The 16166-nt window shown below is 43.6% G+C and overlaps 1 protein-coding gene and 2 pseudogenes across 3 annotated transcripts in view; 2 read left to right on the plus strand and 1 right to left on the minus strand.

Moving 5' to 3' along the window:
• Nucleotides 1-16166, minus strand: part of SVIL (supervillin) — a 279599-nt gene that overhangs the window by 239725 nt on the left and 23708 nt on the right. The window lies entirely within an intron of this gene.
• On the plus strand, nt 873-1584 carry CKS1BP2 (CDC28 protein kinase regulatory subunit 1B pseudogene 2; annotated as a pseudogene).
• Nucleotides 14853-14946, plus strand: RNU6-908P (RNA, U6 small nuclear 908, pseudogene; annotated as a pseudogene).

The following is a 16166-nucleotide window of genomic DNA, read 5'->3' on the forward strand; positions in this document are numbered from 1 at the left end:
GGGCGCCTCTGCCCGGCCACCCCTACTGGGAAGTGAGGAGCCCCTCTGCCCGGCCAGCCGCTCCGTCCGGGAGGGAGGTGGGGGGGGTCAGCGCCCCCTCCCGGCCAGCCGCCCCGTCCGGGAGGGAGATGGGGGGGTCAGCGCCCCGCCTGGCCAGCCACCCGGTCCGGGAGCTGAGGGGCGCCTCTGCCCGGCCGCCCCTACTGGGAAGTGAGGAGCCCCTCTGCCCGGCCACCACCCCGTCTGGGAGGTGTACCCAACAGCTCATTGAGAATGGGCCATGATGACGATGGCGGTTTTCTGGAATAGAAAAGGGGGCAAGGTGGGGAAAAGATTGAGAAATCAGATGGTTGCCGTGTCTGTGTAGAAAGAAGTAGACATGGGAGACTTTTCATTTTGTTCTGTACTAAGAAAAATTCTTCTGCCTTGGGATCTTGTTGATCTATGACCTTACCCCCAACCCTGTGCTCTCTGAAATATGTGCTGTGTCCACTCAGGGTTAAATGGATTAAGGGCGGTGCAAGATGTGCTTTGTTAAACAGATGCTTGAAGGCAGCAGGCTCCTTAAGAGTCATCACCACTCCCTAATCTCAAGTACCCAGGGACACAAACACTCTGCCTAGGAAAACCAGAGACCTTTGTTCACTTGTTTGTCTGCTGACCTTCCCTCCACTAGTGTCCTATGACCCTGCCAAATCCCCCTCTGTGAGAAACACCCAAGAATGATCAATTAAAAAAAAAATAAAATTAAAAAGAAAACAACAACAACAACAAAAAAAAGTCCTCCCATAAGGAAAGATGATCAATTCTTATGTATCGTTCTAGGGATATAAATATTCAGGAGGCTTTTCAGAATAAAAGTTAAATCATTTATGTCGCACAAACAAATTTACTATTCGGACAAATACGATGACAAGGAGTTTGAGTATCGACATGTCATGCTGCCCAAGGACATAGCCAAGCTGGTCCCTAAAACCCATCTGATGTCTGAATCTGAATGGAGGAATCTTGGCGTTCAGCAGAGTCAGGGATGGGTCCATTATATGATCCATGAACCAGAACCTCACATCTTGCTGTTCCGGCGCCCACTACCCAAGAAACCAAAGAAATGAAGCTGGCAAGCTACTTTTCAGCCTCAAGCTTTACACAGCTGTCCTTACTTTCTAACATCTTTCTGATAACATTATTATGTTGCCTTCTTGTTTCTCACTTTGATATTTAAAAGATGTTCAATACACTGTTTGAATGTGCTGGTAACTGCTTTGCTTCTTGAGTAGAGCCACCACCACCATAGCCCAGCCAGATGAGTGCTCTGTGGACCCACAGCCTAAGCTGAGTGTGACCCCAGAAGCCACGATGTGCTCTGTATCCAGAACACACTTGGCAGATGGAGGAAGCATCTGAGTTTGAGACCATGGCTGTTACAGGGATCATGTAAACTTGCTGTTTTTGTTTTTTCCTGCCGGGTGTTGTATGTATGGTGACTTGTGGATTTATGTTTCAGTGTACTGGAAACTTTCCATTTTATTCAAGAAATCTGTTCATGTTAAAAGCCTTGATTAAAGAGGAAGTTTTTATAATCTAAAAAAAATAAAAATAAAAATAAAATAAAATAAAACCCTGCTGCATGAGTCATATTACTCCAGGAAAAAAAAAAAAAAGAAGCAAATTTTGAAGGAAAATAAATCACACATTTTGTATCTAAAAAGAAGTCTAGGCGCTAGGTATAGACCTTAGGAAGCAGATGCATACAAACAAAGTAACAATTGCTTAAAGTTGTCTTTAAGCTCTTTTCAGAATCAAGATGAATGGAAAAACTACACAACTGGTGACTCTGCAGTGAATCTCCCTCCGGCTGTGACTACACCTGTTTCCAGCAAAAAGGAGCCGGCGGGCTGCATAAAGCACCCTCATCGAATGACACTATAAAACTGTATTTCAGTGTGCTCAGAGACAAATTGGAACAACTGGTCCACAGGCTGGATCTAACTCGGTCCTTGTCTTTGTCTAATAGCTGAATACATGAACAGATTTTAATAACTGAACTGCTGTTTGGTTGCTGTATGTTATTTTTTATTTTTTTTAGAGACAGGGTCTTGCTCTGTTGCCCAGGCTAGAATGCAGTGTGTGATCATAGCTCACTGAAGCCTCCAACTCCTGGGTTCAAGCAATCCTCTTGCCTCAGCCTCTCAAGTAGCTGGAACTACTGGCATGCATCACCATGACCACCTCTTTTTGTTTGCTTGTGTTTTGTTTTTTTGAGATGGAGTCTCGCTCTGTCACCCAGGCTGAAATGCAGTGCAATCTTGGCTCACTGCAACCTCTGCCTCCCTGGGTTCAAGCAATTCTCTCACCTCAGCCTCCTGAGTAGCTGGGATTACAGGCGTGCACCACCACACCAGGCTAATTTTTGTATTTTTTAGTAGAGATGGGGTTTCGCCATGTTGGCCAGGCTGGTCTTCAACTCCTGACCTCAGATGATCCACCCTCCTTGGCCTCCAAAAGTGCTGGGATTACAGGTGTGAGCCGCCATGCCCAGCCCAAGTTGCTCTATTTTTAAAGATAGCTCAGGACACGCTGAAGCCATAAAAACTCACAAAGACGTTTTGCTTTTTCAGTAAGTTCTGCTCAATTCTTTACTGAGTGTTACTGACGAGTTAGGAGGCACTGAAGGTGAAGCCAGATGGAGCCACATCTCCAGCCAAGAGTGTGGAAGGCCAGTTCAGGCCCAGGCCTCCGGGCACCTGAAGGCACCAGCGGGAGAATGTCTGCTATGCAGTGTCCTCAGGGCATTGATGGGCTGGTAACACAGTTGGCTACTGAACAGTGATTTGTATTCTAAACTCTCCCTTTCAACAAATGTGGAAGGAACTGTAAAGTGATTTGAAAAGCTTACTCTACACAAATGGGCCCTGGCTTACCAAGGAAAGGTTTCCAAACTCAGGACAGAATTGGTTTTTTTCTTCAAGAAGTGAAAAAGTAAGATATGACACACTAGAGAGTAAAAACATAGACGAAATAAATGATTTCACCTAAAATAAGGATGGGTTCAAAGTGTAGGCTTCTACAGCAAACGCTTTGCTGAGACAGAAGCTTGGGAGTTGGCTGAAGGTGCTAGTGGGAATGTTGAGACCCTAACTTTGTTTACATATGATGGAATGCACGTAAAATAAAGATCATCCTAAGTCACATTCTTCACAGAGCAAGCCCTTTGATGAACATTTCCCTGCAAACACTCCAACCTACCAGCAGATTCAGAGGACACCCTCTCACCAAGAAGATACATTTACAAAATCTTTCCACCCACTACAGCCTGAAAATGTCACACAGGAAAAATTTTGGGCACACTGCTCAGTGACTCCCCTCCCATAGCTTATAACACAGAGAAGAAATTCTTACTATTTCCTTTTTTTTTTTTTTTTTTTGGAGATGGAGATATGCTCTGTCGCCCAGCCTGGAGTGCAGTAGTGCGATCTCAGCTCACTGCAAGCTCCGCCTCCCGGGTTCACACCATTCTCCTGCCTCAGCCTCCTGAGTAGCTGGGACTACAGGCGCCCGCCACCACACCCGACTAGTTTTTTGTATTTTTAGTAGAGACGGGGTTTCACCACTGTGTTAGCCAGGATGGTCTCAATCTCCTGACCTCATGATCCGCCTGCCTCGGCCTCCCAAAGTGCTGGGATTACAGGCGTGAGTCACTGCGCCTGGCCACTATTTCCATTCTTTATGTGAGCCAGGAGTTACCTGTGGCACCCCTACCCCCACCTGCAATCACGATTTCAGTCCTCTTGGTTATTTGAGTATTAACAAAAACAAGCTTGAGAAGCACTGCACCTTAGCCCATCGCTTCAAGGCTCACCTGACTGTTCTCAGAAGGAAGGAGACAAGCTGTAGACCCAGCTGGTAGGGCCACCTTCCTCTCCACGCTCCAGCCCTGCCGCCTGTGTTTGAGCTGATGCAGGGCTGAAGTGTGCACACAGGTATGGATCATATTTGCATGTTACAGTGGACATGTATGGCTTTTGCCTGCATTATACCCCTCTATTCATCTGGAAATTCTTCCTCTCTCCTTATAACCATACCCCACCCACCCCTCACTGCAAAAATAGACCATGCACAGACCCACTCCTCTGTCCACAGCCAAAGAGATTCCTTCCACAAGACCTGATTTAGTAGCACTAGAAGAAAGATGGTCTCTCTTTTTTCTTTTTGGGTTGAAGCTGGAAAAGCTTCCAGGGGCCACCTCTCAGGCCCCTGTACTCCAAGAGAGAATAAGGCCAATACCCAAAAAACTCTTGAGTTCCATCTGCAGCCAGCTTCATCATTGGATTTTCCTATTATTCATGTCAACAAATTCCATGTTTTGCTTAAGCTAGTTTGAGTTTGGGAGAAGAGAGAGATGTATAACGCCCAAGTTTCCTCAAGAGACTTAGAGTTGCCTATGATTTCATTCATTGAAATAGGGAAATAAAATAAGGAAGTAACAGGGAAAATTTTAATTTTCCCTATTGAAACTGAAAATAGGGAAATAAAAAAAATTGTATCTAGTAATATATCCAGTTACCATTTTCTATTAAAATAGATTCTTCATTTGTGTAGGAAATCATTCATCACAAATACATATTCATAAAATAGTTACTTATGTTTTGCAGAAAATTATTGCAACTTGACACTTGAAATCTTATAAGTAAATGGTTCAATTATAAGGCCCCAAGCTATCTTTTGTGGCTGACATTCTAATGTATTTGGAAGACCAAATAAAATGTTTCTAAATGAATAATCTCATGTCAGACAAGATATGGTGGCATGTTAAAAAGTAAAGAGCTATAGGCTGGGCGCGGTGGCTCACGCCTGTAATCCCAGCACTTTGGGAGGCCGAGGCAGATGGATCACCTGAGGTCAGGAGTTCGAGACCAGCCTGGCCAAAACGGTGAAACCCCATTTCTACTAAAATAAACAAAAATTAGCCGGGCGTGGTGGCAGGTGCCTGTAATCCCAGGTACTCGGGAGGCTGAGGCAGGAGAATCACTTGAACCCGGGAGGTGGAGATTGCAGTGAGCTGAGGTCACACCACTGCACTCCAGCCTGGGTAATAGAGCGAGACTCCATCTCCAAAAAAAAAAAAAAAAAAAAAAGTAAAGAGCTTTAAAAGTGTGTCACAATGAACTGTCCCATACTATAACTTCATAAAGGACAGAGGAGGTGCTACATTTTGAATAAATGTTCCATCAAAATAAGAAAAAAATATTCAAAGAAAAAAAATCCACATTCAACAGTGCAACCAGAGTCTTACAGCATTTATATGTCTCACTGGATCTAAGACAAAAACCATCCACACTGACCTCCCCGCTGGGTTCTGCGTGAGATTAACAACTGCATGGACCCACAGAGCAGCCACGGGCTCTGTGTTTCTGAGCTCACTCAGCTACTCCCTGGATACTGAGCAAAGCTGCAGCCAGTATCAGGAAGTTAGCTCAGATCACACGTTCACGAGGTTTATCAGATGTAGAAATTATCAATAAAATTATTCCATTTCATAAAGAAGGCAAGGTTCTGTCCTTTGGAAACCCTAACAGCCATCAGTTCAAAACTTATTACAGAGACACTGAAAATGAATCCCTAAACAAGCACAGCTCACAGACCTTTGACCTTTGATGACTTTGAATTATCTGTGGACAATCTGCTCACCCAGATAGTTCCTGTCCCCACGCAGCTGTTCTCTGAGCTGTCCCTGGTGCAAACTCTCAACACTCAGCCCATCATAGATACCTTCATTTATTTTGAAGTTGCCTCCTTTGACTTCAGACTTTAGGAGAAAAAGGGTAGAATCGTACTGATCTCACTACCTGGCCCAGATTCTAAGGCAACTTCACAGGCTGCCTCACAAATATTCGTTAAATGAATGAGTCTTATTTCCTTTCACTTTGCTGTAAAAAAAAAGAATGCATCTTGGATCTTAGGCTCTCGTCCAAGACAGTTCAAAAATGTGAAGGGGCCCCATGTAAGCGAGGGTGCAATGTGAAAGGATCTAGGCATTTATTTTTAATAGAGAAAAAAGAGAGAGCTTAGTTTCTGTAAAAGCAAAAACAAAATTCTAACCTTGAAACAGATGCAGGATTATTCCTCCATTTTCATAATTTTTCTCTGCTGTTTTTAAAGTTTCTCTGGGTTCATTATTTAACGTTCCCTCTTAACACTGGATTTGAGGGTAACCTGGATCACCGTGAGGGTGAAACGCCAGATGCTGAGCATTTCTGCGCTTCCCCTTCCCCAGACCAGCCCCCCACTGCTCCAGAGATGTCAGGCCTTTCTCCTTCTCCACCACCTGGTGCCAGAAACCCTGCTCTTGACAATCGCATCTTCCACCCCAAATGCATCACTCTTTTCCACTCATGTTCTGCTCATTCATGGCAAGTGAAGCAGAGAAGGGGAGGGGAATAGAACACAGGCCTTCTGTCAGCTGGTTCTCCAGATGCACGCCAGCAGCCCCTGTGGCGGGGGCTCCGACAAAGGGCCTGGCCTGGGGCCAGCAGACTCGTGGAACCAGCAGGCAGGCATCAGAAGGATCCAGACACCAACGTCCAGGGGGATTCTCAGGATTGCCTTCAGGTAGCCGTGCCCTGCAATGTGGGGTGTTTCTCATCCCAAATGGGATTCCTCAGTGGCCCTGACAAACAGTTGGGGAAAGTTAACAGTAAAGGCCAAGTCTCTCCTCCAAAGTCCCTGTCAGGTGGGCTCTTGTTTTTTTGGGGGAAGGAGCCCAGGGTCTAGATCAGTCGCCCAGGCTGGGGTGCACTGGTGTGATCACAGCTCACTTCAGCCTCAAACTCCTGGGCTCAAGTGATCCTCCAACCCCAGCCTCCTGAGTAGCTAGGACCACAGCCACATGACACCACCCCAGCTAATTTTTTAATTTTTTGTAGAGATGGGGTCTCTCCCTATGTTGGCCAGGCTGATCTCGAATTCCGGGCATCAAATAATTCTCCCGCCTCGGCCTCTCAAAGTGCTAGGATTACAGGCATGAGCCACTGTGCCTAGCCTCAGGTGGGTTCTTGAACTGTTCATTAATATCCTAGTTCACTGGTACTTCCTGCTCCAGTGGGCTGGGCGCCTCAGCCTACCATGCTCAAAATCGTAACCACTCCTCCCTCAGCCACGTCTGTGCTTTCTCATAAGTTTTCCAAGTTGTAGAGCTCACGCCACTCCCTAAACTTGCAGTGTCGTGTGTGTGTGTATGTGTGTTCACCGAGGAACTGAGCATGCACCAAACTGTGCCACAAAATATGTTGTCTTACAAATAATTTTGAAATGTTTATACCATGTCTCTCTCACTAGCAGAAATGACTTTCTCATGCTTTCTCTCTCTCTCTCTTTTTTTCTGTAGAGATAGGCTCTCACTACATTGCCCAGGCTGGTCTGGAACTCCTGGCCTCAAGTGATTCTCCCACTTCAGCCTCCCAAAGTGCTGGCCTCTTCTTTTTTAATCCTCCAAAGCATCTAACATGGGTTCTCATGTAGAGTAGGTCTCAATAATTTCTTCACCAAATTCTGCTTAAAATTTAATTTCTCAGTTTATTGATCATTTGATCATTTCCCCCCGCAAATTGTTCCCTTCATTCACAACCACGATCATCATTTATTGGTGAAACTGAATTCTACACTTGACCCCTCCTTGGCCATTCAGGTACCTGTTCAACGTCACTGCCCCCTCCATCCTAGCGGACAACTCAGAGTGACTCAAGCCCTACCTAATCTCCCAAACCAAAAGACATGCAGACACCTCTCAGGAGTCCTGGGGATTTTCAGGGGGTTGGGGAAGGGAACAGGGAACTCCTTTAACTCCTACTACATTTAAAGAAGCAATTTAAAAAATTACTTCTCGCTTATGTAACAGATTGAGATGTACGCAATGGATCTGTCTAAACCATGTACATTTGGTGCTGATTTTTAAAGCAGGGTATTAATGCCTTTGAAATGTAATGAGACTAGGAATGAGAGCCTCACAATTTTTAAAAATATAGTAATATAAACCTTGAAGTAGCATTGGAAGTTCTTTATCCCTGGATATTGGAAATTAAAGGAAAAATGCAAGGGGTCATTTTCTCCTCCAATTTGCAACTTTCCCAAAGAGATTTTGGGTATGGCCAAAGTTAATGTAAATATTAACTTTATTCACGGACAAAAGGATAAAGGTGTGTGTGGTTGGCTGAATAATGGATCCCCAAAAGATATCCACATTCTAATTCCTGGAAACTGTGAATATTACCTGACACGGCAAAGATTCTGTAGATGTGATAAATTGAAGGATCTTGAGATGAGGAAATGATCCTAGATATTCTGGAGGGCCCCATGTAACCATCAGGGTCCATACAGAAAGGAGGCGGAGGGAGAATATAGACTGTTCTTCCCACTTCAAATCTTTTTTTTTTTTAAGTTCGGGATACAAGTGCAGAATGTGCAGGTTTATTAGATAGGTAAACGTGTGCCATGGTGGTTTGCTGTGCCTATCAACCCATCATCTAGGTTTTAAGCCCTGTATGCATTAGCTATTTGTCCTAATGCTTTCCCTCCCCTTGACCCGCAACCCCCGAAAGGCCCCAGTGTGTCATGTTCCCCTCCCTATGTCCATGTGTTCTCCTTGTTCAACTCCTACTTATGAGTGAGAACATGTGGTGTTTGGTTTTCTGTTCCTGCATAAGTTTGCTGAGGACGATGGCTTCTGGCTTCATCCATGTCCCTGCAAAGGACATGATCTCATTCCTTTTTATGCCTGCATAGTATTCCATGGTGTATATGTGCCACATTTTCTTTGTCCAGGCTATCACTGATGGGCATTTAGGCTGATTCCATGACTTTGCTATTGTAAATAGTGCTGCAATGAACATATGTGTGCATGTTTCTTTATAATAGAATAATTGATTTATATTCCTTTGGGTATATACTGAGCTACTTTTAATAAATCGACTTGGCTGGGCATAGCAGCTCATGCCTGTAGATTGACGGGCATTTGGGTTGGTTCCATGTCTTTGCTATTGTAAATAGTGCTGCAATAAACATGTGTGTGCATGTGTCTTTATAGTAGAATGATTTATATTCCTTGGGGTATATATTCAGTAATGGGATTGCTGGGTCAAATGGTATTTCTGGTTCTAGATCCTTGAGGAATCACCATACTGTCTTCCACAGTGGTTGAAGTAATTTACATTCCCACCAACAGTGTAAAAGCATTCCTATTTCTCCACATCCTCTCCAGCATCTGTTGTTTCTTGACTTTTTAATAATCACCATGCTGACTGGTGTGAGATGGTATCTCATTGTGGTTTTAATTTGCATGTCAGATCAGTAATGTCAAGCTTTTTTTCATATGTTTGTTGGCTGCATACATGTCTTCTTTTGAGAAGTGTCTGTTCATATCCTTTGCCCACATTTTGATGGGTATTTTTTTTTCCTTGTAAATTTGTTTAAGTTCCTTGCAGATTTTGGATATTAGACCTCTGTCAGATGGGTAGATTGCAAAAAGTTTCTCCCATTCTGTGGGTTGCCTGTTCACTCTGATGATAGTTTCTTTTGCTGTGCAGAAGCTCTTTAGTTTAATTAGATTGGTTTCTGTTGCAATTGCTTTTGGTGTTTTTGTCATGAAGTTCTTTGCCCATGTCTATGTCCTGAATGGTATTTCCTAGGTTTTCTTCTGGGGTTTTTATAGTTTTGGGTTTTATATTTAAGTCTTCAATCCATCATGAATTAATCTTTGTATAAGGTGTAAGGAAGGGGTCTAGCTTCTGTTTTCTGCATATGGCTAGCCAGTTTTCCCAGCACTGTTTAACAAATAGGGAATCCTTCCCCACTGCTTTTTTGTTGTTTGGTTTGTCGAAGATCAGATGGTTGTAGATGTGTGGTATTATTTCTGAGGTCTCTGTTCTGTTCCATTGGTTTATATGTCTGCTTTGGTACCAGTACCATGCTGTTTTGGTTACTGTTGCATTGTAATATAGCTTGAAGTCAGGTAGGTGATGACTCCAGCTTTGTTCTTTTTGCTTAGGATTATCTTGCCTATACGGGCTCTTTTTTGGTTCCATGTAAAAATTAAAGTAGTTTCTATCTAATTCTGTGAAGAATGTCAGTGGTAGTTTGATGGGAATAGCATTGAATCTACAAATTACTTTGGGCAGTATGGCCATTTTCACGATATTGATTCTTCTTATCCATGAGGATGGAAAGTTTTTCCATTTGTTTGTGTACTCTCTTATTTCCTTGAGCAGTGGTTTGTAGTTCTCCTTGAAGAGGTCCTTCACATTCCTTGTTAGCTGTATTCCTAGGTATTTTATTGTCTTTGTAGCAATTGTGATTGGGAGTTCATTCATGATTTGGCTCTCTGCTTGTCTATTGTTGGTTTATTCGAATGCTTGTGATTTTTGCATATTGATTTTGTATCCTAAGTAAATGTCTCCAAATTGTATGCCATTAATTTGCCCTTAAACCAAATTTCTATTAATTCCTACATCTGCTTGCTTGAAGATATCTGTGGTAGCAGTGGTAATAGTGACAGCAGTAGCAGTGGTAATTAATAAGACCAAAGAAATTATATTTTACAGACTAGAAGTGCTTTTAAAATAATGATTAAATGGATTATAATCAGTTTAAAATAATGTGGTATGTTTACAAATAATAATAGCTGAAGCTATCTTTAAAACAGTGAGTATATGCCAGGCACTGTGCTAAGGACTTTTCGTGTATTATTTCATTTATACTCTTATGATTTATAACCTAGGTCACTATTATCATCCCCATTTCATAAATGAGAAAATGAAGGCTTAGAACAGTCACATGGCTAGTAAATATCAGGGCTGTGATTTAAACTCATGTAGTCTGGCCTGCTAAAATGATGGTAAAAATAACTTTAAAAAAAATGTACAGGCCATGCGCGGTGGCTCACGCCTGTAATCCCAGCACTTTGGGAGGCCGAGGCAGGTGGATCACGAGGTCAGGAGATGGAGACCATCCTGGCTAACACGGTGAAACCCCGTCTCCACTAAAAAATAGAAAAAATTAGCCAGGCATGGTGGAGGGCGCCTGTAGTCCCAGCTACTCGGGAGGCTGAGGCAGGAGAATGGCGTGAACCTGGGAGGCGGAGCTTGCAGTGAGCCGATATTGTGCCACTGCACTCCAGCCTGGGAGACAGAGTGAGACTCCATCTCAAAAAAAAAAAAAAAAAAAAAAATGTACAAATTTACATCAGCGAAGAGAAAATAATCAGTCATCAGAAAACAAAAGATTTTGGCCACGTGCGTTAGCTCACGCCTGTAATCCCAGCACTTTGGGAGGCCGAGGTGGGCGGATCACCTGAGGTCAGGAGTTCAAGACCAGCCTGGCCAACATGGTGAAACCCTGTCTTTACTAAAAATACAAAAATTAGCCAGGCGTGGTGGCGGGCGCCTGTAATCCCAGCTACTTGGGTGGCTAAGGCAGGAAAATTGCTTGAACCTGGGAGGCAGAGGTTGCAGTGAGCCGAGATTGCGCCACTACACTCCAGCCTGGGCAACTCCGTCTCAAAAAATTTAAGAAAAGAAAAAGAAAACAAAAGATTTTGACATTTCTGGAAGATGAATATAACCATAAAACATGCAAATATAAAAGAAAAACAATGCAGAATGCTATAAAAAGTATACAGTGTGCATGCCTTGCTGGGAAGCCTGCTGGGTGTGGGTGGAGCTCACTGGAGCTCACTGGAGATCTGTTCACAGGTTTGCTCTACTGAGAAAAACACAAGAAAAAGCAAAGAAAACAAAACAGCCAATAGAACAAAAACAAACTCAACAACAACAAAAAAATCAAACAAAAAACCTGCCGAAAGAATTTTAAAAGATGATTACACAATGAAAAGTTCAATAGAACAGTACAAAGATAATGTTAGGGAAGTCTCCCAGAACACAAAGCAAAAGAATAAAAACACAAAAAATTGAAGAAAAGATTAAAAAGCCAGAGAAGGAACCGAAGAAGCCTAACATTTGACCAATCAGAGTTCTAAAAACCACAGAAAAATATGGGGCAGGGGGAAAAGGAAGAAATTATCAAAGAAATAATACAGCTTGAGTACCCCTTATCCAAAATGCTTGAGACCAGAAGTGTTTCAGATTTCAGACGTTTTTGGATTCTGGAATACTTACATTGTACTTACCAGCTGAGCATCTCTAATCCAAAACTCTGACACCCTAAGTGCTCCAATGAGCATAACCTTTGAGTGTCGTGTCATGTTGGCACTCAAAAAGTTTCGGATTTCAGAGCATTTCAAATGTTTGAATTAGGGATGCTTAACCTGTACAAGAAAACTCCCCAGAGCTAAGGTGACAAGCTTAGACTTCAAGATGTTTGCTGTTTATCCATGTGTTACCTCTCAGCTGCAGATACCCTTCTTTGCCTTCCTTTGAATTACGGGAGCTGGACGTGGTCAATGTCTCTCCTTTGCCAGCTGACATCAGGTTAAGCTTTGCTGGTTGAGAGTGCTGGAGAAGTCGTGCAGGAGGAAGCGACTTTTCTCCTATGGGGTATGCTCTCACCAGCTTGTGCCTGCAGCAGCTAGCAGCCTGTGGAATACCCAGGGGCGTCACCCCAGTGAGTTTCGGCAGCACCCTGCAGGTGGTTCCCGGTAAGTCTGGCAGACACCCCAGCAGGCAGCATCCTCACAAGGTTCAGTAGAGCAAACCTGTGAGCAGGTATCCAGTGAGTACCCCCAGCACCCAGCCGGCTCCCAGCAAGGCTTGCAGGCACCCAGTGGGTGGGTGGTTTCTAGCAGTTTTTTAAACACCAGAGCAGGCGGTATCCCACATGGGCTAGCATGCAGCTCCTCCCCAGACTGTGCTGCCTCAATGGGCCACGGAACCATGCCCTGAGATCTGAATTTCAGATTTGGGGGTGCGCGAGAGGCAGCCACTTCTGAACTCGATCTTGCCTCAGCCCTAGAGGGAGGGGCTGCTCAATGTATGTGTCACTCACATTCTTTCTTAATTTTTTTTTTTTTTTGAGGCAGGGTCTCACTCTGTTGCCTAGGCTGGAGTGTGATCATGGCACACTGCAGCCTCAAACTCCTGAGCTCAAGCAATCCTCCCACCTCAGCTTCCTGAGTACGTGGGACTACAGGTGCGCGCCACCATGCCCGGCTACCTTTTTAATTTTTCGTAGAGACAGGGTTTCACTATATTGCCCAGGCTAGTCTCAAACACCTGGGCTCAATTGATCTGCCCACCTTGGCCTCCTCCCAAAGTGTCGGGATTATAGGCGTGAGCCACCACGCCCAGCCAACCATTCCTGTATTCTTTACAGCTCTCTTTTCCTTTTAGTAGTTAATCCCCTGCTACAAATCAATGATTGTTTAAAGTTTCCCTGTTCAAATCTGTGTGATTTTTGTGTGAAGAGAACCTGACTGATACACCCACTGACTACCAAACTCAATAAATGAGCAAAGACTCACATTTAGACATCTCACTGTCAAATTACTATATAATTGTATTAATAATTATTGCAGAATATTGAGGAATAAAGAGAAAGAAACTCTAGTAGCTTTCAAAAAGGAAAAAAGAGTCAGTTAATAACAAACACAGACCAGCATGTGCCTTTTCAAATCTGCAACAATATAGCAAGATTTTTGAAGGTTAAAGAAAAATTTATTTCAAGCCTAGAAACCCATACCAATCATAGTAAAGACATTTTCAAACACGTAAGACTCAGAAAGTGAGCCTCAATCAGAATAAATCACTTAAGACTATTAAATATATTTCAAAAAAAATCAATGTAAAACACAGGCAAAGAGATGTGGCATCCAACACATGGTAGAACAAAGCCTTGAATTTAAGGAAAATTAACAACTGCAAGTCTAGGAAGCCATGAGGACATCAGTGAGTGGAATCCGCAAAGAATGTCTTCAAAAAGAATGCATTTATTTCAGGCAATAGACAAATGCGTTAAAAACTAGAGGATTTGAGGGAAATAGTCAAGGAGGCACAATTCTTCCCTCAACAAGGCACACACACCAAAAAAACAAACCAATAAAAAAATTCAAGGGGGCCAGAATGGCGACTCATGCCTGTAATCCCAGCACTTTGGGAGGCTGAGGAGGGCAGATCACCTGAAGTCAGGAGTTCGAGACAAGCCTGGACAACATGGTGAAACCCTGTCTCTACTAAAAATACAAAAATTAGCTGGGCATGGTGACGCACGCCGGTGGTCCCAGCTACTGTGGAGACTGAGGCAGGAGAACCACTTGAACCTGGGAGGTGGAAATTGTACTGTGGTGAGATCGTGCCACTGCACTCCAGCCTGGGTGACAGAGCAAGACTACGTCTCAATAAATAAATAAACCTCAAGGGAAAACAAATGCCACCAACAAAAAGCAGGAGAGACATGGTTCAAATGCGCCATGACTGGACAGGTGACACTACTCACGCCTGTAATCCCAGCACTTTGGGAGGCCAAGGTGGGCAGATCACCTGAGGTCAGGGGTTCCAGACCAGCCTGGCCAACATGGTGAAACTCCGTTTATACTAAAAATGCAAAAATTAGCCAAGTGTGGTGGTGCACCCTGTAATCCCAACTACTCAGGAGGCTGAGGCACAAAAATCACTTGAACTCGGGAGGTAGAGGTTGCAGTGAGCCGAGATCACGCCATTACACTCCAGCCTGGGTGACACAAAGTGAGACTCTGTCTCAAGGAAAAAAAAAAAAAGTGCCATGATTTAGAGCAACTGGTAAAAATTAGCAGAATGAACTCAATTGGAAAAGATATTAGAGCAGCTGGGCACGGTGGCACATGCCTGTAATTCCAGCACTTTGGGAGGTCAAGGCAGGTGGATTACAGTACATGTACTAAAATTGGAATGATATACTAAAATTGGAAGATCAGCATGGCCCCTGCGCAAGGATGACATGCAAATTCATGACGTGTTCAATATTTTTTATATATTTTAATAAAAATATAAAAATTTAAAAAATTTTAAAGAAAAAGATATTAAGAACTATCTATTTTGAGTGATGCTGCAGTTGTGATATTAGAATTATAGAGAGGGAAGTATAATCACAGCAAGCACTGCTTGGCTCTTCTACAGACAGTATTTACATTAACACTGCTCATTGGCTTGTGCTGCGGTTTGGATATTCGACCCTTTGGAACATTGTTGAAATCTGATCCTCTATGTTGGAGGCGGTGCCTAATGGCAGGTGTTTAGGTCATGGGCGTGGATTCCTCATGAATAGATTAATGCTCTTTCTGGGGGGCGGGGAGGCAGTGAGTGAATTTTTGCTCTATTAGTTCCCAGGAGAGCTGGTTGTTAGAAAGAGCCTGCGACCTTAGCTGGTTGTTAGAAAGAGCCTGGGACCTTCTTCCTCTCTCTCTTGCCTTCTCTCTCGCTATCTGATCTCTGCACATGCCAGCTCCTCTCTGCCTTTCAGTATATGTGGAAGCAGCCTGAGGCTTTCCCCAGATGCCCAATCTTCCAGCAGCAGAATCGTGAGCCAAATAAAACTCTTCTTTATAAATTACCCAACCTCAGGTATTCCTTTATAGCAACACTAAAGGGACTAAGACAGCTTGCAACCTTTAGACTCAATCAATGGGCAATGCAAGGAAAATATTTCCAGATAGAGAAGGCAAATGTTATCAGACTCAACACTGTAAAAATAAAGACATAGCTGAGAAAAGCTGAAAGATGGACAACAGGAAAAGAGAGGAATGCGGAAGGTTAGTGGTACTAGTCCCCTCATCTTATAAAATTTGGCACCTAATAGGTAGGAAATAAATGCAACAAGATATAGAGGTTTATGAACATTAAAACTGCAATGGTAGGGCTGGGCACGGTGGCTCAGGCCTGTAATCCCAGCACTTTGGGAGGCTGAGGCAGGTGGATCACTTGAGATCAGGAGTTCGAGACCAGCCTGGCCAACATGGTGAAACCCCGTCTCTACTAAAAATACAAAAGAATTAGCTGGGTGTGGTGGCGGGCACCTATAATCCCAGCTACTCAGGAAGCTGAGGTAGGAGAATTGCTTGAATCTGGGAGGCAGTTGCAGTGAGCCAAGGTGGCACCACTGCACTCCAGCCTAAGCGACAGAGTGACAGTCCATCTCAAAAAAGAAAAAAGAAAAAAAAAAACTGCAGTGGTAATCAAGAGAGGAATTCA

This window comes from Homo sapiens, chromosome 10 (genome assembly GCF_000001405.40).
Source record: "Homo sapiens chromosome 10, GRCh38.p14 Primary Assembly".
Classification (NCBI taxonomy): domain Eukaryota; kingdom Metazoa; phylum Chordata; class Mammalia; order Primates; family Hominidae; genus Homo; species Homo sapiens.